The following is a 23,510-nucleotide window of genomic DNA, read 5'->3' as shown; positions in this document are numbered from 1 at the left end:
GTGCCTATCCATGTATTTATCTATTCATCCTGATGTATTTATTGAGCAACTCTTTTGTGCCAGGCACTGTGCTGTGTTGCGGGAAGTCAGGGACCCCAAACGGAGGGACCAGCTGAAGCCATGACAGAAGAACGTGGATTATGAAGATTTTATGGACATTTATTAGTTCCCCAAATTAATACTTTTGTAATTTCTTATGCCTGCCTTTACTGCAATCTCTAAACATAAATTGTAAAGATTTCATGGACACTTATCACTTCCCCAATCAATACCCTTGTGATTTCCTATGCCTGTCATTACTTTAATCTCTTAATCCTGTCAGTCGAGAAGGATGTATATCGTCTCAGGACCTGTAATAATTGCGTTAAGTACACAAATTGTACAGCATGTGTGTTTGAGCAATATGAAATGTGGGCACCCTGAAAAAAGAACCGGATAACAGCAATTGTTCAGGGAATAAGAGAGATAACCTTAAACTCTGACCGCCCGGTGAGCCGGGCAGAACAGAACCATATTTCTCTTCTTTCAAAAGCAAATGGGAGAAATATCGTTGAATTCCTTTTCTCAGCATGGAACGTCCCTGAGAAAGAGAATGCGCACCTAGGGGTAGGTCTCTGAACTGGCCCCCCGGGGCATACCTGTCTCTTATGGTCGAGATTGCAGAGGTGAAATAAACTCCAGTCTCCCATAGCACTCCCAGGCTTATTAGGAAGAGAAAATTCCCGCCTAATAAACTTTGGTCAGACGGGTTGATCTCAAAACCCTGTCTCCTCATAAGATGTTATCAATGACAATGGTGCCAAAACTTCATTAGCAATTTTAATTTCACTTCCGTCCTGTGGTCTGGCCCTGTCTCCACTTGCCTTGTGATATTCTATTACCCTGTGAAGTACTTGATGTCTGTCACCCACACCTATTCATATACTCCCTCCCCTTTTGAAACTCCCTAATAAAAACTTGCTGGTTTTTGTGGCTTGTGGGGCATCACGGATCCTACCAATGTGTGATGTCTCCCCCAGATGCCCAGCTTTACAATTTCTCTCTTTTGTACTCTGTCCTTTTATTTCTCAAGCCAGTCGACGCTTAGGAAAATAGAAAAGAACCTACGTGATTATCGGGGCAGGTCCCCCGATATCTGGCGCCCACGTGGTCTTTCTTTTTTCCTAAGTGCATGAGGGAACCGGATTCCCTTTGGTAGGTGCGGTGAAACGTCAATCGGCTTGGTCCACAGATAAGCGTGTTCAACTCCCCGACGAGTGGTGAGTAATCTGTGTAAGGTCTGGGTTAACTGTGGGTCATGTGTAATCTAACAAACTCCTGTTAAAACCGGTAACCATGAAAAATATGATCACTCTATTCAGGGCAGTAGAAAAATACTGTTCTTGGTTTCCTGAAAAAGGAACGGTGTATATAAAATTGTGTGATTGTGTCCGTAAGGCATTCCGAAAACTGATCTCGGCCGGGTATTATGTGCCCATCACTGTTTGGGGTGCTTGGTGCGTGACATCTTCGTGGCTTGCCAATCTCGTGACCCCCTGCAGTTGCCGCAGTTTTCTGCCTTTTCCTCAGTTTCTCTGCCTTTTTCTCAACCTTCCTCTCCCACATGGCCTTCGTTCAGACTCTCCCTTCAGCTACTCCTCCCCTCCCTAACGATTCTGAAAATTCGATTTCTAACTCTGGTAACTTTGGCTTAAAGTTACCCCCTACTTTTCTTACTTCTTCCCACGAAAAGCCGGTACTTCACACTCCTGCGGCTGTGACTCACAAAGCCCGGTAACATAAATATGCTAATTCTTCTCTCTTCAAACCTCCAGCATCAAATAATGGCTCTGGGACCAAACTACAATTTACCTGTCATTCTCCAGGCCCTCCCCCATCCACTACAGCCCCTCACCCTCCTGTCGTTTCAGTTCCTCAGCCAGTCTGCATCGATAGGCGCCGCTCAATCTTACCTTTTTAAAAACAATTTAAGGATGCTTGTACTCAGTATGGTCCTACTTTTCCTTATGTTCAAATGGTATTGCAAACTTTTTATACTGAGGTTGTTTTGCTTCCTTTAGACTGTGATCTTTTGGCAAAAAGCTGTTCTAAGTCCATCTCAGCCTGGTGGTCAGAGGAGGCCTGTTTACAGGCTCAGCTAAATCGGAGTAATGGCATTCTAATTACTCAGGCTCAGCTCACAGGCTCCGATAGTTTCTCTGATGCTTATGCCCAATTAAACTTTGATACTCTTACCACAAAACAAGTAACAAAAGTGTGTATGAGAGCTTGGGATAAACTACACTCCCGAGCCCAAGCTCTTGTTTCTTTTACTACTGTTAAACAAGTTCAATTGCTTTTACTACCTAATATCCTTTTAAACAAAGGAGATAAGACAAGTGGCCCTGGGATTCAGCAGTGGCCGCTTTCTAAAGAAAAACTGGAGGCTTTAAATCAATTGGTTTCTGAGCAGTTACAACTTGGAAATGTGGAACCTTCTCTTTCCCCTTGTAATTCTCCTGTGTTTCTAGTAAAAAAGAAATCAGGCAAATGGCGGATGGTAACCGATTTAAGGGCCATTAATGCTGTAATTAAACCTATAGGGGCCGTCCAACCCGGCATGCCTGCCCCTGCTTTAATACCTAAAGATTGGCCTCTCATACTTATTGATCTTAAAGAGGTTTTTTTTTTCATATCGCTTTACATAAATCGGATTGTGAAAAATTTGCTTTTACTGTACCATCTATCAATAATCAGGAGCCTGTAGCTCGTTATCAATGGAAAGTACTTCCTCAGGGAATGCTAAATAGCCCTACAATCTGCCAGCTTTATGTTGGACAAGTGCTTTCACCAGTTTGAGCCCGATTTCCCGAGGCCTATATTCTTCATTATATTGATGATATTTTAATTTCTGCCCCCACTGATAAAAAATTAATTGACTGTTACCAAATTTTGAACCGCTGTGTTACAGAGGCTGGATTACGCATTGCTCAGGATAAAATTCAACAGACCACTCCTGTTCAATATTTAGGAATGGTGGTCGATAAACAATGTATTCAACCTCAAAAAGTTCAAATTAGGAGAGATTCTTTAAAAACTTTAAATGACTTCCAAAAACTTTTGGGTAACATTAATTATTTAAGACCTACTTTAGGCATTCCGACCTATACCCTGTCTAACTTGTTCTCTATGCTGCGGGGAGATTCTGATCTCCGCAGCCCTAGGACTTTGACCCCTGAGGCTTTACTGGATCTGGAATTTGTAGAGGAAGAAATCCAGACCGCCCAGTTATCTAGAGTACAGACATTTCAGCCTTTTCAGCTTCTGGTTTTTGCTTCATTACACTCTCCTACTGGACTAATAGTTCAACATAATGATTTAGTGGAATGGTGTTTTCTTCCTCATTCTGTGTCAAAAACTTTATCTAGACCAAATAGCCATATTAATTGGACAGGTTCGGTGCAGAATACTTCAATTTTCTGGATTTGATCCAAGTGTAATTGTAGTTCCTTTAAATCAGCTCGAAGTTCAAGCTGCCTTTCAACATTCTGTACTGTGGCAAATTCACTTGGCTGATTTTATTGGTGTTATTGACGATCATTATCCAAAAAAACAAATTGTTTGATTTTATAAAAATAACGTCTTGGGTGGTTCCTAGATTAACCAAAAATCAACCCATTCCTGAGGCCGTTACAGTATTCACTGATGGCTCTGGTAATGGCAATGCTGGCTATACAGGTCCTGCAGACAAACTTCTTTCTACCTCTTATACTTCTCTTCAAAATGCGGAGTTAATTGCTGTGATTACTGCCTTACAGGATTTCCCCAAACCTTTAAATATTGTCTCTTATTCTACTTAACGTGGGGAAGAGGATATGCTTGTGTTTCACCAGGAGATCATCAATCCCCTGTCTGGGTGCCCACCAGAAGACTCAAGCTTCTTGTGAATACTGACAATCAAAACCACAGTGAAGAGACGTCTGTGTCAGAGACTGCCTTCAGATGTGGTGAGATCTGTGCCGACTCCTCAGAAACAGGCACACCAAATCACAATGGGTGTAAATCAATCCTCCCTGATGACAGTGGAGACCCATCTAACTAATCACACTTATCCTGATTACCTTTCTTTTTCTCCTTACAAACCTAAATATCTCACCATTTCTATTAGCCTGAAAATAACATCCCACTCTTCTTCTCTTTCTCCTTCAGCACTCCATCTCGCTTACACTAGGTTTTATTTAATGATTCTCCTCCTTATACTTTCTGTCTCACCAGTTTCCTCTCACACTGATTTACCTGCTACACATAATTATTCTTCTTGGGCTTAGGTGTCTTTTCCTCCACTTATTCGCTCTCTCACCCGGATAGATGCTCCCGCAGAAATCTACACTAACGATAGTGTGTGGATGCCTGGAGCCATAGACGACCCTTGCCCCGCACAACCAGGAGAAGAAGGCACTGCATTTAATGTTACCATGGGTTATAAATACCCACCTCTGTGCCTCGGACATGCACCTGGTTGCATCCATCTAGAAACTTAGTTCTGGGCTGCTTATCTTTCAGAAACATCAGCTACAGATAAAATGGGACATTTGGCCTCTGGCCTCTCCCTTTCTCCTTTACAACAAATGAAAGGAGGAGTAATGGGAGGTACCCCATACTTTCAATATAAACCTGCAGGAAAACCATGCCCTAAACATTTTGAGGGACCATCTAAAACTTTAATTTGGGAAGATTGTGTTAACTCACATGCAGTAATATTAAAAAATGACTCATATGGTTTAGTAATAGACTGGGCACCATAGGGCTATTTAAAAAACAATTGCTCCTCTGTGGAAGGGAATGCCTGGAGGCTACTTATTTTATTTCTTATCCGGAGAAAGAGAATCATCATTCTACTTTGCATAGAAGGATCAGCTCATTCTTTCCCTTAAAATGGGAAGATAAAGGCATTACCCGCCCCCTCCAGGCCTCCTATGACACTCCCTATTCTGAGCCCAGAACACCCAGAACTTTGGAAATTGGCTATTGCCATGGCTGGACTGCGAGTATGGGAAGGAAAAACTATTTTGACTGTTGTTCCCACTACCGTCCCATTCTCTCAGTATCATCGTAGACCCAGACATTCTGCTTCACTTACCTCCAACCTGACTGTTCCCATACAGAGTTGTGTTGAGCCTCGTTACATGCTATTGGTAGGAAATATCAAAATTTGGATGAATAATCAAACTGTCCAGTGCGTCAATTGTCATCTATACACTTGTATTAACTCCCATTTTGACTCCAGGAAAAGTGTAATGTTGGTTCAAGCTGGAGAAAGAATCTGGATTCCGATAACTTTACCTCGACCTTGGGAATTCTCCCCCTCAATACATTTAATTAATGAAGTGGTACAACGAATTCAAAAAAGATCTGGTACAACGAATTCTAAAAAGATCTAAGAGATTTGTTTTCACTTTAATCGCTGTTATCATGGGCCTAATTACAGTCACTGCAATGGCCACCACTGCCGGAATGGAATTACACCAGTCTATTCAAACGGCTCATTTTGTTAATGATTGGCAAGCCAATTCCACCCAAATGTGGAATTCTCAACAAGACATCGATCAAAAATTGGCAAAGCAAATTAATGATTTAAGACAGTCTGTTATTTGGCTTGGAGATCAGGTAGTGAGTCTAGAACATCGCATGCAAATGCAGTGCGATTGGAATACTTTGGATTTCTGCATCACCCCTATTCCTATAACGAGACTGATCATTCATGGGAAACGGTCAAAGGACACCTTCTAGGTAGAAAAGGTAATTTATCATTGAAAACAACTAAATTAAAAAAGCAAATTTTTGAAGCCTCCCAAGCTCACTTATCCATCGTGCCTGGAGCTCAGGCGTTAGATCAGGTGGCAGAAAATCTTTATGGATTAAGTCTATTGGGGGATCCACTGTACTAAATTTTGGAATTATGTTTCTCTGCTTAATCGGCTTGCTTTTAGTGTGCCGTACCAGTCAAATAATCCTGTGTCAAAATCGAGAGAACGAACAAGCCTTCATCGCCATGGCACATTTATATAAAAAGAAAGGGAGAGATGTTGCGGGAAGTCAGGACCTCAAACGGAGGGACCGGCTGAAGCCATGACAGAAGAACGTGGATTATGAAGATTTTATGGACATTTATTAGTTCCCCAAATTAATACTTTTGTAATTTCTTATGCCTGTCTTTACTGCAATCTCTAAACATAAATTGTGAAGATTTCATGGACACTTATCACTTCCCCAATCAATACCCTTGTGATTTCCTATGCCTGTCTTTACTTTAATCTCTTAATCCTGTCAGTCGAGAAGGATGTATATCGTCTCAGGACCTGTAATAATTGCGTTACATACACAAATTGTACAGCATGTGTGTTTGAGCAATATGAAATGTGGGCACCCTGAAAAAAGAACAGGATAACAGCAATTGTTCAGGGAATAAGAGAGATAACCTTAAACTCTGACCGCCGGTGAGCCGGGCAGAACAGCACCATATTTCTCTTCTTTCAAAAGCAAATGGGAGAAATATCGTTGAATTCCTTTTCTCAGCATTGAACGTCCCTGAGAAAGAGAATGCGCACCTAGGGGTAGGTCTCGGAACTGGCCACCCATGGCGTACCTGTCTCTTATGGTCGAGATTGCAGAGGTGAAATAAACTCCAGTCTCCCATAGCACTCCCAGGCTTATTAGGAAGAGAAAATTCCCGCCTAATAAACTTTGGTCAGACGGGTTGATCTCAAAACCCTGTCTCCTGATAAGATGTTATCAATGACAATGGTGCCAAAACTTCATTAGCAATTTTAATTTCACTTCCGTCCTGTGGTCCTGTGATCTCACCCTGTCTCCACTTGCCTTGTGATATTCTATTACCCTGTTAAGTACTTGATGTCTGTCACCCACACCTATTCATATACTCTCTACACTTTTGAAACTCCCTAATAAAAACTTGCTGGTTTTTGTGGCTTGTGGGGCATCACGGATCCTACCAATGTGTGATGTCTCCCCCCAGACGCCCAGCTTTACAATTTCTCTCTTTTGTACTCTGTCCTTTTATTTCTCAAGCCACTCGACACTTAGGAAAATAGAAAAGAACCTACCTGATTATCAGGGCAGGTCCCCCGATAGTGTTGGATGGTGGTAATGAAACGATGAAGATGGCAGGCATGCATCTGCCCTCCAGGAGTTTCTAGGATACAGAGGGACAAATAAAAAATAAGTAAATCCATGAAAGAAGTATAGGCAGAACCTGCCCCCAATATTTCAATGTAGGTTCTTTCTATTTTCCATAAGTGTCAGCCAGCTGAGAAATAAAGAGAGACACTACAAAGAGGAATTTTACAGCTGGGCTGCTGCGGGTGACATTACACATCAGTAGGACCGTGATGCCCCCTGAGTCTCAGATGAGCAAGTTTTTATTAAGGGCTTCAAAAGGGAAGGGGGTGTAAGAACAGGGAGTAGGTACAAAGGTCACATGCTTCAAAGGGCAAAAAGCAGAACTACTACTAAGGGTCTAACAAAGATCACGTGCTTCTGAGGGAACAGGACAAAGGACAAAAGCAGAACTACTGATAAGTGTCCAGCAAAGATCACAAAGCAAAGGGCAAAAGCAGAACCACTGATAAGGGTCTATGTTCAGCGGTGCATGTATTGTCTTGATAAACATCTTAAACAACAGAAAACAGGGTTCAAGAGCAGAGAACCAGGCTGACCACAGATATATCAGGGCGGAGTTTTTCTCCACCCTAGTAAGCCTTTGGGTACTGCAGGAGACCAGGGCGTATCTCAGTCCTTATCTCAACCGCATAAGACAGACATTCCCAGAGCGGCCATTTATAGAACTTCCCCCAGGAATGCATTCCTTTCCCAGGGTATTACTATTAATATTCCTTGCTAGGAAAAGAATTTAGCGATATCTCTCCTACTTGCACATCCGTTTATAGACTCTGCAAGAAGAAACATATGGCTCTTTTTGCCCAACCCTGCAGGCAGGCAGACCTTATGGATGTCTTCCTTTGTTCCCTAAAAATTGCTGTTATTCTCTTTTTCAAGGTGCACTGATTTCATATTGTTGAAATACACATGTTTTACAATTTGTACAGTTAACACAATTATCACAGTGGTCCTGAGGTGATGTACATCCTTAGCTTATGAATATAACAGAATTAAGAGATAAAAGACAGGTATAAGAAATTATAAAAGTATTATTTGGGAACTGATAAATGTCCATGAAATCTTCACCATTTATGTTCCTCTGCCATGGCTCCAGCCAGTCCCTCTCCATTTGGGGTCCCTGACTTCCCACAACAAGAAACAATAAGACGTTAAGGTGGAGAAGAGCAGGGTCAGGGAAGAGCTGTCTGTGGAAGCACCATTTTAGCTGACACCTAAAGGATGGTCTAATTTGGGGAGGTGCAGAGGAAAATCATTCCAGGCTGAAGCAGCAAGTGCAAAGGCCGTGTTGTGGAAAAAGGTTTGAAAGTCCAAGAAAACAAAAGGAGGCCATAGCGGCTGAAATAGAGTAGGCCAAGGGCAGGAGATAGGAGAGGGCTGGAGAGGTGGCAGGAACAGGCAGAAGACTCGGGGTCTCGATTTTATTCTATGTACCATGGGCAGGAAAGGCAGGGATGAGACTCAATGGACACCTTAAGATCACTGAAGTTGCCAGGTAGGAAATGGATTGCTGAGCATGGAGAGCAGGTGCAGAGTACCAGTTAAGACCAGTTAGGAGGCTGCTGTAGCCTAGCTGAGATAGCGGTGTCCTAGGCAAAGATAATGACAGTGAAGCTACAGAGACTGGACAAGTTGGATAAAGTTTAGAATCACAGGACTTGCTGACTGGAGAAGAGGGCAAAAGCAGAGTTAGCACAACACATGAGTTATGACCACCTTGAGCAGCTCAGCAGGGGGTGGTGCCATTTACAGAACAGAGATGGCATGGACAGAGCCCATGGAGAAGGAGGAGGAAAAAGAGAGTTTAGCTTTGGGTTTTTTTTTTTTAAGACAGGGTCTCTGGCTGTGTCACCCAGGCTGGAGTGCATTGGTGCAATCATAGCTCTTTGCAGCCTCAAACTCCTGGGCTCAAGTGATCCTCCTGCCTCAGCCTGCCATGTAGCAGGACTACAGATCCTACAGATGCACATCACCATGCCTAGCTTTTTTTTTTTTTTTTTTGTAGATAGGGAGCCTCACTGTGTTTTCCAGGCGGGCTTCCAACTCCTGGCCTCAAGTAATCCTCCCACCTCAGCCTCCCATAGCACTGGGATTACAGCCATCACCTACCACTCCAAGCCATGAGTTTGGCTTTGGATGTAACAAGGTTGAGGTGTTCATGAGTTGACAAGTGGAAAAAACAGGAAAGAAGTTGAGTGTTTAAGACTGCTGTTTGAAGGAGAAGTCTAGCCTCAAGACAAAAGTTCAGGACTCATTAGCTGAGAAATGGCACTGAAAATTATGTAAATGGATGAGCTCAGATAGCAAACAAGTCCAGAGAGAGCAGAAAGTCCAGAGAGAGCAGCACTGGGCTATGCATCTGGCCTAATGCCACCCCGCTCCTCCCAATCCCTGTGTTATGCAGGAGAGGGTTCAGCCTCTGGTGAGTTTCACCAAACCCCCACATCTCTTACTTCTGAAACCTTCTCTAAAATCCCCTCTTTTATACTTAGTGAAATGGGATTCTCTTTTTCCCATCCAGCTTAAGCAGAAACTTTTGACTATGAGAAGAATGAGGATGCATTTAGTATCTGTTCTGCATGGCTAATTCCATCAAAGATTTCTCATTATTCATGCCTGGCAGTCTCATTTTCTTCTTTTGCCTCTAAGAGCACAGTCGTAGCCTTAATTACTGACATTTTCACTCTTCTAATACCAGCGATTTACCCCATCTCAGTTCTCAGGAAGTTCTGTTCGCAGAATTATCTCCTGAGTCCTCACCTGGAGATATAAATTGTTCTCTGTGGCCATTTCTTCCTACTCTAATTCTTATCAAAAAACTCAGTGATCTCTGTGCATCAGTTATTAAACTCAAGCTCAACAGATCATGATTCTGGCTTGTCTGTCTCTCCTGCCTGTGGGTTAACAGGTATGCAACCTTTGCAGAGGAGACACCAAATTCTCAGGAGGCCAGAGTTTCCAAAGGTACTGGTCACTCTTGCTCTCTTTCTCCTGCTCAAAATTCAGCACTAGAGAGTGTTACACCATTGCACCTGCAGAGGAGTTCATCTGACTCTAGGGACTACAGAGGAGAGAGATGGACAAACTAACAGGCATTCAGAAAACGACTACCACAATGGGGAAGAAAATGAAAGTCAAACCAAATAAGCAATGATCAAAAAAACAAGAAAAATCTAGAGGGCAGCTGCAGTGGCTCACAGGTGTAATCTCAGCACTTTGGGAGGCCGAGGCAGGTGGATCACTTGAGATCAGGAGTTCGAGACCAGCCAGGGCAACATAGTGAAACCACATCTCTACTAAAAATAAAAGAATTAGCCAGGTGTGGTGGCGGCCACCTGTAATCCCAGCATTTTGGGAGGCCGAGGTGGGTGGATCGCCTGATGTCAGGAGTTTGAGACCAGCCTGGCCAACATGATGAAACCCTATTTCTATTAAAAAATACAAAAATTAGCCAGGTGTGGTGGCAGGTGCCTGTAATCCCAGCTACTTGGGAGGCTGAGGCAGGAGAATTGCTTGAACCCAGGAGGCAGAGGTTGTGGCGAGCAAAGAATGCACCACTGCACTCCAGCCTGGGCAACAGTGAGACTTTGTCTCAAAAAAAAAAAAACAACCTAGAGATGTCCATCCAGGCTGAACAGAATATTCCAGAGCAGACGTTGGGACACTATGGCCCATGGGCCAAATCTGACCTGCTTGCACATGTGTTTGTCAATAAAGTTTTATTGAAACACAGCCATGCACATTTGCTACATATTGTCTATGGCTGCTGGATTTGGCTGTTCTCTCATGCTATAAAGAAATACCTGAGATTGGGTAATATATAAAGAAAAGAGGTTTAATTGGCTCGCAGTTTTGTAGGCTATACAGGGAGCATGACACTGACATCTGCTGAGCTTCTGTGGAGGCCTCAGGAAACTTACAATGATGGCAGAAGGTGAAGCGGGAGCAAGAGAGTAAGGAGGGAGGTGCGACACACTCGTAAACAACCCGATCTTGCAAGAACTCACTCACTATTGCAAGGACAGGACCAAAAGGACGATGCAAAATCATTCATGAGAAATCCACCCCCATGATCCAATCTCTTCCCACCAGGCCCCACCTCTAACACTGGGGACAGCTTTTATCTTGGCTTTTTCACTGGCAGCCCCTTCCTCAAGGACTTAACTTGTGCAAGCTGACTCTTAGCACATCTAAGAATGCAATTAACTGATAAGATACTGTGGGGCGAGCAATATCCGCAGTTCCCAGGAATTTGTCCGATTGATAATGCCTAAAGCCCCACGTCTATCACTTTGTAATAGTCTTAAAGCCCTTAGACCTAGAACTGTTTACTTTCCTGTAACAATTTATCCTTTTAACTTTTTTGTCTACTTTACTCCTGTAAAATTCTTTTAACTAGACCCGTTTCCCCTTTCTAAACTGAAGTATAAAAGAAAATCTAGCCCCTTCTTCGGGGCCAAGAGAACTTTAAGAGTTAGCCATTTCTTGGCCACCAGCTAAATAAGCAGACTCTTAATTCATGCGAAAGTGTGGCATTTTCTCTAACTCATTCAAGTACAACATTGGGAGGCCCCAGCGAGAAACGCCATAGGCGAGAGCCGGGCTCCCCCGGAAGGACGGCCGGCTTGTGGGGGGTGCCACCTAAAAAAAAATCTTCAGGTCCTCGAAAGGTGACCATCTTCCAGAGGAGAGCGGATCGACTACCCTGTGGGTGCCCATAAGAATTCCACCTCTGAGTCCTCGACTTCTGACCCCGAGGTCAGGTAGGTCAGATTTGACTTCAGTTCTAGTAAGAGGGAAGCGGCCCTGATGAGGGTGTCCCTCTTTCGACTCTGCCTGTTTCTCTAGGACGCTAGAAGGTAGAGCCCTGGTTTTCTGTCAGGCACCTCTGTGTCTCTTTCTAGGAGGGAAGTGGCCCTGACAGGGGCCCTCCCTTGACTCAGTCCACATCCCAGGATGCTGGAGGACTGAGTCCTGGTTTCTGGCAGACCGGTCATTCTCTCTCTCTCCTTTTCTATCTCTCATCTTTCTCTTGTTCGAGTTTCTTGAAGAATCTCCAAGAAAGAAAAAAAAAACTGTTATATACTCTGTGTGAATAATGAATGAGTGAGGGAGGACAAGGGCTCGCGCTTGTCCTCCAGTTTGTAGCTCCACGGCGAAAGCTACGGAGTTCAAGTAGGTCCTCACCTCACCTGCGGTTCCGTGGCGACCTCATAAGGCTTAAGGCAGCATCAGGCATAGCTCGATCTGAGCCGGAAGTTTATTCCTGCCTGCCAATGCTAAGAGGAGCCCAAGTCCCCTCAGGGGGAGCGGCCAGGCAGGCATCTGACTGATCCCATCACAGGAAACCCTCCCCTTGTCTGTCTGAAAAAAAAAAAAAGGAAGAAACTGTCCTAATCATCCACACGGTAGTCGATCCGCTCTCCTCTGGAAGACGGTCACCTTTCGGGGACCTGCAATTTTTTTTCAGATGGCACCCCCCCACAAGCCGGCCGTCCTTCTGGGGAAGCCCGGAGCGAGCCCAGCTCTTGCCTCGTGGCGTTTCTCACTCGGGCCTCCAAATGTTGTACTTGAGCGAGTTAGAGAAAATGCCACACTTTGACATGAATTAAGTCTGTTTATTTAGCTGGCGGCCAAGAGATGGCCTTGAGGAAGGGGCTGCCAGTGAAAAAGCCAAGACAAAGTCTGTCTAGCTCTCTTAGCTAAAAGAAAGTCAATTCAGGTAGAAACAAGGCTAAGTGATTAAAAGAAAAGGAAAGTCTAAGAACAAAGTTAATAAAAACAAGGTTAGGCATTACAGATGGGGTCATCCTTATATTCAGCACAGTGTTTGTCCTGAAACTTCAATGGAGTGCTCCTAGTTTGATAACTTGGACCATGCCAAATAAATTGAATTTCTCCTTCTTAACAACAGATGTTTGAATACAGCCCCGTGTTCCTCTCTGCTCCTTCCAGCCTTCCTCCTCTCCTCTCCCTTCCTTTCCTTTTCAAGAGCAGGGTTTGCAAGCTTTTACTTGAAAGCATCAGATAGTAAATATTTTAGACTTCGTGGGCCATACAGTCTCTTGTAGTAGATACTGAGCTCTGTCACCCATAGAATGAAAGCAGCTGACAGGTTGAATATGTGTCCGCTCCCAAATCTCATGTTGCAATGTAATCCCAAGTGTTAGAGGTGGGGCCTGATGGGAAGAGATTGGATCACGGGGGTGGATTTCTCATGAATGATTTATCGTCATCCTTTTGGTCCTGTCTTTGCAATAGTGAGTGCGTTCTTGCAATATCTGGTTGTTTACGAGTGTGTAGCACCTCCCTCCTTACTCTCTTGCTCCCACTTCAGCTTCTGCCATCATTGTAAGTTTCCTGAGGCCTCTACAGAAGCTCAGCAGATGTCAGTGTCATGCTCCCTGTACAGCCTACAAAACTTGAGTATGTTTTTCTTCTCATTCTTTCTTACCTTCCCTCCAGCCCACACAACCCACATTCAGTGACCAAGTCACGTGGGTTTTACCTCCTAAATCTTTCTCATATCCTTCACTGCTCAGCCACTCTCCTGACACCATCATAAACCAAGCCACCATCACCTCCAGGTGTTTGACTGCAAATGCCTCCAGACTGGCCTCTGCTTTTCCCTGGCCCTGTGACAATCTGCACTCCTCACAGGGACCAAAGCAATCACTTCAGAAGGTGCATCCAAACAGATCACTCAACTTTCCGTGGCTCCCACTGCTGTGTGGGTTAACAATGATAAAAGCTCGGCCGGGCGCGGTGGCTCACGCCTGTAATCCCAGCACTTTGGGAGGCCGAGGCAGTCGGATCACGACGTTAGCAGATTCAGACTATTCTCGCTAACACGGTGAAACCCCGTCTCTACTAAAAATACAAAAAAATTAGCCAGGCGTGGTGGCGGGCGCCTGTAGTCCAGCTACTCCGGAGGCTGAGGCAGGAGACGGGCGTGAACTCGGGAGGTGGAGCTTGCAGTGAGTCGAGATCGCGCCACTGCACTCCAGCCTGGGTGACAGAGTGAGACTCCATCTCAAAAAAAAAAAAAAAAAAAAATGATAAAAGGTCACCTCTACTGAGCACACACTATCTCATTCCATCCCTACATCAGCCCTTGATCTCACCAGTGGGGAAGCTGGGACACAGAGTAGTTAGGTGGGATGCCCAAGGTGGGACCACTCGTGTAAGTTTCCACACCCTAATGTGAGACCCTCCATGACCTAGCCCCTCTCTTTCTCCAGCCTCATTTCCTGATTCTCTTGCTTGCCCTGCAGGCTTCAGCCACATAAACTTCTTGAAAGTGCCTTAAATCTGGCTGAGCGCAGTGCCTCTCGCCTGTAATCCCAGCACTTTGGGAAGCTGAGGCGGCTGGATCACCTGAGATCAGGAGTTCGAGACCAGCCTGGTCAACATGGTGGAACCCCATCTCTACTAAATATCCCAAAATTAGCCACGTGTGGTGGACGGCACCTGTAATCCTAGCTACTCGGGAGACTGAGGCAGGAAAATCGCTTGAACTCGGGAGGCAGAGGTTGCAGTGAGCCAGGATCGCACCACTCCACCCAAGCCTGGGCGTCAAGACTGAAAGTCCGTCTCAAAAACAAAAGTCCCTTAAATCTGCTCTATGCCTATCAACCTCAGGGACTTCACTATGCTGTTCCTCACCCTGAAATGCTGTTCCTCATTTCTCTACATAGTGAACTCATCCCACCCCCTAGGCCTCTCCTTAAGTGTCATCTCTTCAAGGAAGATTTTACTTTTTTAATATTACTATTATAATTCAGGTACCGTATGCTTTGCCAATTTAAAGTGAACAAATCAATAGTTTCAGTGCATTCACAGAGCTCGGCGACCACCATCATTATCAATTTTAAAACATTTTCATCACTCCAAAAGAAACCCTGTATCCATGAGCAGGTTCCTGCCATTTCCTCCTCCCACTAAGTCCTGACAATCTACTTTGAGATAGAGTCTCTATCACAGGCTGGAGTGCAGTGGCACAATCTCGGCTCACTGCAACCTCTGCCTCCCAGGTTCAAGCAATTCTCCTGCCTCCAGAGTAGCTGGGATTACAGGGATATGCCACCACGCCCATCTAATTTTGTATTTTTAGTAGAGACAGGGTTTCTGTCTTCATAGATTTGCGTGTTCTGGACATTTCATATAAATGAAATCTTCTAATATGTGACCTTTTGTGACTGGTTTCTTCTACTTAGCATAATATTCTCATAGTTCATCCGTGTTGTAGCACGTGTCAGTACTTCATTCCTTTTGATGACTGAATAATATTCCATTGCATGGTCAAACCATGTTCTATTTCTCCACTCATCAGTAGACAAGCATTTGTGTTGTTTTCACTTTGGCGCTATTATGAATAATGTTGCTATGAGCATTTGTGTACAAGTTTCTGCACGGACATATACTTTCATTTCTTTCATAAACTGGAGTGGAAGTGCTGGGTCATAGAACTCTGTGTTTAAGCTTTTGAAGAAGTGCCAGACTGTGTAAGAAAGAAAGCCTTTCCTCACTCCCTCTCTCCATTTATACGTTCTCTTTATGCCCTTTGCTTCTCTTTCAGAGCAATTCATGTTGACCTGGGTCACCCTCAACTTAAGGCTCATAACTCCCCTAGATCCTCAGGGTCCACACTAAATGTAATGAAATATGATGGAAGCCACATATTTACTTTTGCATTTTGTAGTAACCACATTTTAAAAAGTAAAACAAAAGAAGTGAAGGTAATTGGAATAATATCACAGATTTAAACAAATCTATCCGAAATACCAGGTCTACAAGTATAAAATATTTTAACATTAACAAAATACTTTGCTTTCTTTTTATATTAAGTCTTCACAATCTAATGTGTATTTGACACTTCTAGCACATCTCAGAATGATGGCAGCACCCCATATGGGGGGCCCTCCCATGATGCCAATGATGGGCCCTCCTCCTCCTGGGATGATGCCAGTGAGACCTGCTCCTGGAATGAGGCCACCCATGGAAGGCCACATGCCCATGATGCCTGGGTGCCCAATGATGAGACCTCCTGCCCGTCTCATGATGGTGCCCAGTCAGCCCAGAATGACTCAACCAGACAGATAAGGATAGAGGGGAGGCCTCATTACATCAGTGTTGTTTTGTTGTTATTATTGTTGTGTTTTCTTTGTTTGTAATGTTTTGTTTTGTTTTTGAGACACAGTCTTCCTCTGTCGCCCAGGCTGGAGTGCAGTGGCACGATCTCAGCTCACTGAAACCTCCACCTCCCGCGTTCAAGCGATTCCCCTGCCTCAGCCTCCTGAGTAGCTGGGACTACAGGCATGCGCACCATGCCCGACTGATTTTTTTTATTTTAGTAGAGACAGGGTTTCACCATGTTGGCCAGGATGGTCTCAATCTCCTGACCTCGTGACCCGCTCGCCTCAGCCTCCCAAAGTGCTGGGATTACAGGTGTGAGCCACTGCACCCGGCCTATATGAGTTTTATATTTACCTGCTCCCTTCACCAGGAGATCATGCTGCTGTGATGCCGGGTTTTCTTAACAGCATAAGGAAGACTTGCCCCGTTGCCCTATCAAAGAGAATAGTTTTGGAGGGGAGAAGTGGGACCAAAAAAGATGCAGTTTTCATTTGTATTGGGAAATGTGAAAATAAAATTGTCAACTCTTTTAGTTAAAAACAACAACAACAAAAAAAAGGAAACGAGATGTGGGGCTGCCACACGCAATATCGTGCATTACAAGGATCTTCTACTCTGGAGGAAAATATCTTTGCTGATGCCAGACCAACCTAACACAAAGACCTTTTGTTTTTTTAATGTGACTGTGTTTTATTTTAGAATGTGTAATTCACTTTAGAAGTGCAAAGTACCTGTCTGGGGAAGACTATTTAATTTCCTGCATTTATTTAGAATATTGGCTAATGTTATTCTGAAGGGAAATATCTCTAACAAGTGAGTGCCCCCCACATAGACACAGCTCATGAGCTCACGGGGCAAAGGAATTGAACAGCAGCCTCCTAATAGCCGGCCTTCTTTGTGGTATGGAAATAATTATCAGCATGTAAAAGACTATATATATATTAAACAATTCTGACCCCCTGCAAAATTCAAATCTACAATTGATTTGCTTCCTGGGCTCCTGAAAACAACTTTGTCAAAACTGTTCAGAAATAAAATCAGGTAATCGTTGCCCCTTGGGGTCGCAGGATAAAGCAAATCAGCCATGACCAATGGGGAGTCGGCCGTGCACAGTTACATGCAGACCTGCAGGACATCGAGTCCCTGCTATGGTCCCTTCCCAGTCAGGCCCCCATTGCCTGGGCTGCAGCCAGAAGCATTCAGGCACAAGTGCATTCAACAAATACTTATTTAATTGCATTGGTGGTTAGAGGGTTGCGGTTGATTAAGGTACATTAATGGATCCGTGTCCTCCCTGTATCCAAGACTCTGTCATTTGTCTCTGCAGTTCCTCCCACTGAAGAATCAGAGTATATTTCTCCAGCCCCTAATGTTGGGTTTAGTCATGTGTCTAGCTTTGGCCACTGGAATATTAATCTGCATGACCAAAAACTTGGAAAGTGTGCATTCATTTGTGCTCGCTCACTCCTGCTATCACCATGAGAACAAGCCCAGGCCAGCCTGCTGCTTCCAGCAGAAGATAAGAGACACCAAGAGCAAAGTAGAGCTTCCCAGACATGCTTATGCTAGATTAACCAATCCTCAGCTGACCCATAGATCCATGAAAATAAATAACTGTTGTATTAAGCCACTGAGATTTGGAGTGACTTGTTATGCAGCATTTTGTGACAATAACTAACTGATACAAGGGTCACCATACTTTATCTCTGTAGATTTTAACCAATTTTTAATAGCTAGATGGAGATCTTCTAGTTGCCTTTATTTATAATGAATAAGACTGTAGAGCTAGTTTGCCCTGACACTACCAGTTACCTACCCAGAAATTCAGAAATACTTTCTTCTCCAACCCACCCCAACCAACCATTTTTTTTTTTTTTTGAAACGGAGTCTTATTCTTTGCCTAGGCTAGAGTACAAGTGGCACAGTCAGAGCTCACTGTAACCTCAAAATCCTGGGCTCCCCTGATCTTCCCCTTCAACCTCCTACGTAGCTAAGACTCCTGACATGTGCCACCATGCCTGGCTAATTTTTTTATTCTTTGCAAAGACAGGATCTCACTATATTGCCCAAGTTGGTTTCAAACTCCTGGCCTCAAGCAGTCCTCCTGCCTCACCCTCCCAAAGTGCTAGGATTATAGGCATGAGCCACCACACCCAGCCTCTTCTTTTTAAATAGAAACCCTATTTTATTCTGAAAGCGGGTTGCTTTCTTTTTTTTTTTTTTTTTTTTTTAGAAAAAATTGGCCCAGCCCCAGGGAATAAATTGTGACTTGTCTAAACAGGGTTGGCAAACTATAGACCAAGGGCCAAATCTGGCCCTCTGACTGTTTGTATAAATTAAGTTTTACTGGAATAAAACCAGGTCCATTCATTTATGCCTTGTCTACATATGTTTTAAACTACGATGGCACCACTGCGTCACTGCAACAGAGGTTATTCAGACCAAAAGCCTAAAATATTACCGTTTGCTTCTTTATGGAAAAAGTTAGCCATTCCCTAGTCTAAGGTTTAGATTCTGAGCTTATCATTTTAGCCTACCCCCACATACCAGTGAGTGGCTCAAAACAAGTCTATGATTCCATTGTGACTGTTCTACTGAGGGAAATCCCCCTTCTTCTCATGCAGAGCTGATGAGGGAAAGTTGTATTAATAGGACATATGCTCAGGTTTTCTGAAAAATACTATTATCTAGAAATGCATAGGAATATGCTGGTGCCTGAATGTACCATCTGGGGGCCTGGAGACTGACTCACACTGCCTCCAGAGCTGGCGCTCACACTTACTACTGAGAGGCCTGAGGAAACACCTGCCTACCCACCACCAGAACCTGCACACGTCACCTGGAGAACTAGAGATCAGCCTGCCACACACACAACCCAGGAGCCCAGTGGCGCACCCGCCCACCTGGCCCAGTGCTGCCACTGCCAGCAACCAAAGAAGCCACCTGGAGGCCCAGGGATTGGCCCATGCAGACAGGCTATCATCAGTGCCCACATACACTGCACATGGTCACTAGTATTGACACACCTGTTCTACCACCACTACCACTGATGCTGAAGGACAAGACTTCCAGGCATCCCCATCCTCAGCAAAGCCTCACCACAGCCTCCAATAACAACTGCAGTCTGGCTGGGCGCAGTGGCTCACACCTGTAATCCCAGCACTTTGAGAGGCTGAGGCAGGTAGATAACGAGGTCAGGAGTTCAAGACCAGCCTGGCCAACGTGGTGAAACCCCATCTCTACTAAAAATACAAAAATTAGCTGGGCGTGGTAGCAGGTGCCTGTAGTCCCAGCTACTCAGGAGGCTGAGGCAGGAGAATCGCTTGAACCTGGGAGGCAGAAGTTGCAGTGAGCTTAGATTGTGTCACTGTACTCCAGCCTGGTGACAGAGCTAGACTCCATCTCAATCACAAACACACAAACAAAAAAAACTGCTGTCTAAGCCACTGAATAACTCACAGACACCACTCATGCCAATTACAGCTGAAGAAATCATATGCAGCCTATACCACTGTACCCACCCAGAATCAAAGCCAAAGTGTGATATCCAATGAACGCTGTAGATACAGCTATAAGAAAAGGTCTTTCCCATATAAAAGCCAACCCAGAAAATTGGAAGAAGTGACTGCTATGTCAGAGGCACAAGTAGTCACATAAGGACGCAAGAAATATGAAAAAGGAAACATAAAATCTCCAAAGAAGCACAATAATTCTCCAGCAACAGATTTCAATGAAAAGAAAATCTATGAAATGCCTGAAAAAAAATCAGAATAATGATATTAAAGAAACTCAGGGAGATATAAGAGAGCACAGATAATGAATACAAAAAAATCAGGAAAACAATTCATGATCTGAATGAGAAATTCAACAGGGATAGACAGCATAACAAAGAACCAAACACAAATCCTGGAAGAGATGAAATCATTGAAAGAAATACAAAAGACAACTGACAGCTTTAACAATAGACTAGATCAAGCAAAACAAAGAATTTCTGAACCTGAAGACTAGTCTTTTAAAATAATCCAGTCAGACAAAAAGAAAGAAAAAAGAATGAAGCAAGGCTACATGACATATGGGACACATATGTGACCAAAAACTGAAATTCTGGGAGTTCTGGATGGAGATGAGATGGGTAAAAGCATAGAAAACCTATTTAATAAAATAATAACTGAACACTTCCTGAAAGCTTCCAAATAAAGGAATCTCAAAGATTACCAAATAAACACTACTCAAAAAGGTCTTCTCCAAGGACTTTATGGTAAAATTGTCAAAAGACAAAGAGAAAATGCTAAAAACAGCAAGAGAAAAGCATCAAGTCACTTATAAGAGAATCTCCATCAGGCTAACGGGGAATTTCTCAGCAGAAACCTTACAGGCTAGGAGAAAAGGGGATGTATACTACAAGTTAAAAAAAAAAAAAATGTAAGGCAAAATTGCTAAAACCAGCAAAGCTATCCTTCACAAATGAAGAAGACTGGCACAGTGGCTCACATCTGCAATTCCAGAGACTCAGAAGGCTGAGGAAGGAGGATCATTTGAGCCCAGGAGTTCAAGGCTGCAGTGAGCTATGATCATGCCACTGTACTCCAGCCTGGGTGACAGAGTGAGACTCCAGTGCTTAAAAAAGAGAAAAAATATTTCCCAGATAAGCAAAAGACTGTTTGTTTGTGTCTTGTTTGTTGTGGTCCTACAAAAAATGCTTAAGGGAGTCCTACACTGGGAAGCAAAAGAACAATATCTACCATCATGAAAATACATGAAAGTATAAAACTCATGGTAGCGCAGACACACAAAGGAGAAAGGATTCAAACGTCACCACTAAAGAAAACCACCAAACTGCAACAATAAATAATGAGAGAAAAAAGGAACAAAGGTGTATTAGTCTGTTTTCACACTGCTGATAAAGACATACCTGACTGAGACTGGGCAGTTTACAAAATAAAGAGGTTTAATGGACTTACATTTCCACGTAGCTGAGGAAGCCTCACAATCATGTTAGAAGGCAAGAAAAAGCAAGTCATGTCTCAGCTGGATGGAAGCAGAGAAAGAGAGAGCTTCTGCAGGGAAACTACCCTTTTTAAAACCATCAGACCTTGTGAGACGTATTCAGTGTCACGAGAACAGCATGGGAAAGACCTACCCCCATGACTCAATTACTTCCCACCGGGTCCCTCCCACAACATGTGGGAATTCAATATGAGATTTGGGTGGGCACACAACCAAAGCATATCATTCTGCCCCTGGCCCTTGCCTAATCTCATTTCAAAACAAATTATGCCTTCCCAACAGTCCTCCAAAGTCTTAACTAAGTTCAGCATTAACTCAAAAGTCCACAGTCCAAAGTCTCATGTGAGACAAGGCAAATCCCTTCCGCCTATGAACATGTAAAATCAAAAACAAGTTAGTTACTTCCTAGATACAATGGGGGTATAGGCATTGGGTAAATACAGTCATTCCAAGTGGGACAAAATTGCCAAAACAAAGGGGCTACAGGCCCCATGCAAGCCCAAAATCCAGTGGGGCACTGACATCTCAAAGCTCCAAAATGATCTCCTTTGACTCCATGTCTCACATGCAGGTCATGCTGATGTAAGAGGTGGGCTCCCATGGCTTTGGGAGAAAAAAGGCCACAACTCCACTCCCGTGGCTTTGTGGGTATAAACCCCCTCCTGGCTCCTTTCATGGGTTGGCATTGAGTGTCTGCAGCTTTTCCAGGCACACAGTGCAAGCTGTCAGTGAATCCACCATTCTGGGGTCTGGAGGATTGTGGCCGTCTTCTCAAAGCTCCACTAGGTGGTACTGCAGTAGGGGCTCTAGGTGGGGGCTCTGACCCCACATTTCCCTTCTGCACTACCCTAGTACAGGTTCTCCATGAGTGCCCTGCCCCTGCAGCCAACTCCTGCCTGGACAACTAGGCATTTCCATACACCTTCTGAAGTCTAGGCAGCAGTTCCCAAACCACGATTTTTGACTTCTGTGCACCCACAGGCTCAACACTATTTGGAAGCTGCTAAGGTTTGGGGCTTGCACCCTCTGACGCCACAGCCCACATTGTACCTTGGCTCCTTTTAGCTGCAGCTGGAGTGGCTAAGACTCAGGCACCCGAGTCTGCTCACAGCAGGGGTCCCTGGGTCCAGTCCACAAAACCATCTTTTCTTCCTAGGCCTCTGGGCCTTTCATGGGACGGGCTGCCATGAAGCTCTGTGACATGCCCTTGAGACATTTTCCCCATTGTCTTGGAGATTCACATTTGACTCCTCGTTACTTCAACAAACTTCTGCAGCCAGATTGAATTTTTCTTGAGAAAATGGGATTTTCTTTTCTATTGCATTGTCAGGCTGCAAATCTTCCAAACTTTTATGCTCTGCTTCCCTTATAAAACTGAAGGCCTTTAACGGCACCCAAGTCATCTCTTGAATGCTTTGCTGCTTAGAAATTTCTTCTACCAGATACCCTAAATCATCTCTCTCAAGTTCAAAGTTCCACAAATCTCTACAGCAGGGGCAAAATGCCACCAGTCTCTTTGCTAAAACATAACAGGAGTCACTTTTGTGCCAGTTCCCGGCAAGTTTCTCATTTCCATCTGAGACCACCTCAGCCTAGACTTTATTGTCCATATAACCATTAGCATTTTGGGCAAGTCTCTAGGAAATCTCTTCCAACTTTTCCCATATTTTCCTGTCTCCTTCTGAGCCCTCCAACCTCTGCCTGTTTCCCAGTTCCAAAGTCACTTCCACATATTCAGGTATCTTTTAGGAACACCCCACTTCTGGTACCAATTTACTGTATTAGTCCATTCTCACACAGCTGATAAAGACACATATAAGACTGGGAAATTTACAAAAGAAAGAGGTTTAATGGACTTACAGTTCTTTGTTGCTGGGAAGGCTTCAAAATCATTGTGGAAGTGAAGGAGAGACAAGTCACATCTTACAGGGATGGCAGCAGGCAAAGAGAGAGCTTGAGCAGGGAAACTCCTCCTTTAAAACCATCAGATCTCAGGAGACTTACTCACTATCAAAAGAATAGCATGGAAAATACCTGCCCCCATGATTCAACTACTTCCCACTGGGTCCCTCCCACAACACATGGGAATTCAAGATGAGATCTGAGTGGGGACACAGCCAAACCAAATCAAAAGGATATACAAAATAACCAGAAAACAATGAACAAAATGACCCGAATAAGTCCTCACCTAT

General features: G+C 44.0%; 1 long non-coding RNA gene and 1 pseudogene across 1 annotated transcript in view, besides 5 other annotated features; one reads left to right on the top strand and one right to left on the bottom strand.

Annotated features, from left to right (window-relative positions):
• Positions 1 to 21,387, bottom strand: part of LOC105377803 (uncharacterized) — a 47,930-nt gene extending 26,543 nt beyond the window's left edge. The window contains exons 1-3 of the long non-coding RNA XR_941393.3: positions 21,273 to 21,387; positions 7,104 to 7,192; positions 5,120 to 5,168 (exon numbers count right to left, since the gene is read on the bottom strand). This is a non-coding gene — a long non-coding RNA (uncharacterized LOC105377803). The remainder of the gene's footprint in view (positions 1 to 5,119; positions 5,169 to 7,103; positions 7,193 to 21,272) is intronic.
• Positions 273 to 953: an enhancer, noted in NCBI's record as "OCT4-NANOG-H3K27ac hESC enhancer chr8:7016479-7017159 (GRCh37/hg19 assembly coordinates)". NCBI's record gives its function as "activates a minimal SCP1, AML or CMV promoter by ChIP-STARR-seq in primed H9 embryonic stem cells {active_cell/tissue: H9 hESC(primed)}" and the evidence as "EXISTENCE:reporter gene assay evidence [ECO:0000049][PMID:30033119]".
• Positions 954 to 1,635: an enhancer, noted in NCBI's record as "OCT4-NANOG-H3K27ac hESC enhancer chr8:7015797-7016478 (GRCh37/hg19 assembly coordinates)". NCBI's record gives its function as "activates a minimal SCP1, AML or CMV promoter by ChIP-STARR-seq in naive H9 embryonic stem cells {active_cell/tissue: H9 hESC(naive)}" and the evidence as "EXISTENCE:reporter gene assay evidence [ECO:0000049][PMID:30033119]".
• Positions 2,318 to 2,999: an enhancer, noted in NCBI's record as "NANOG-H3K27ac hESC enhancer chr8:7014433-7015114 (GRCh37/hg19 assembly coordinates)". NCBI's record gives its function as "activates a minimal SCP1, AML or CMV promoter by ChIP-STARR-seq in naive H9 embryonic stem cells {active_cell/tissue: H9 hESC(naive)}" and the evidence as "EXISTENCE:reporter gene assay evidence [ECO:0000049][PMID:30033119]".
• Positions 6,513 to 7,137: an enhancer, noted in NCBI's record as "OCT4-NANOG hESC enhancer chr8:7010295-7010919 (GRCh37/hg19 assembly coordinates)". NCBI's record gives its function as "activates a minimal SCP1, AML or CMV promoter by ChIP-STARR-seq in primed H9 embryonic stem cells {active_cell/tissue: H9 hESC(primed)}" and the evidence as "EXISTENCE:reporter gene assay evidence [ECO:0000049][PMID:30033119]".
• Positions 12,181 to 12,681: an enhancer, noted in NCBI's record as "H3K4me1 hESC enhancer chr8:7004751-7005251 (GRCh37/hg19 assembly coordinates)". NCBI's record gives its function as "activates a minimal SCP1, AML or CMV promoter by ChIP-STARR-seq in naive H9 embryonic stem cells {active_cell/tissue: H9 hESC(naive)}" and the evidence as "EXISTENCE:reporter gene assay evidence [ECO:0000049][PMID:30033119]".
• Positions 16,069 to 16,850, top strand: SNRPCP6 (small nuclear ribonucleoprotein polypeptide C pseudogene 6; annotated as a pseudogene).
• Positions 21,388 to 23,510: the final 2,123 nt, after the last annotated feature.

Source organism: Homo sapiens, chromosome 8 (genome assembly GCF_000001405.40).
Source record: "Homo sapiens chromosome 8, GRCh38.p14 Primary Assembly".
Classification (NCBI taxonomy): Eukaryota; Metazoa; Chordata; class Mammalia; order Primates; family Hominidae; genus Homo; species Homo sapiens.
The sequence above is the reverse complement of the archived record's forward strand: the minus strand, read 5'-3'. Positions and strand labels throughout refer to the sequence as shown.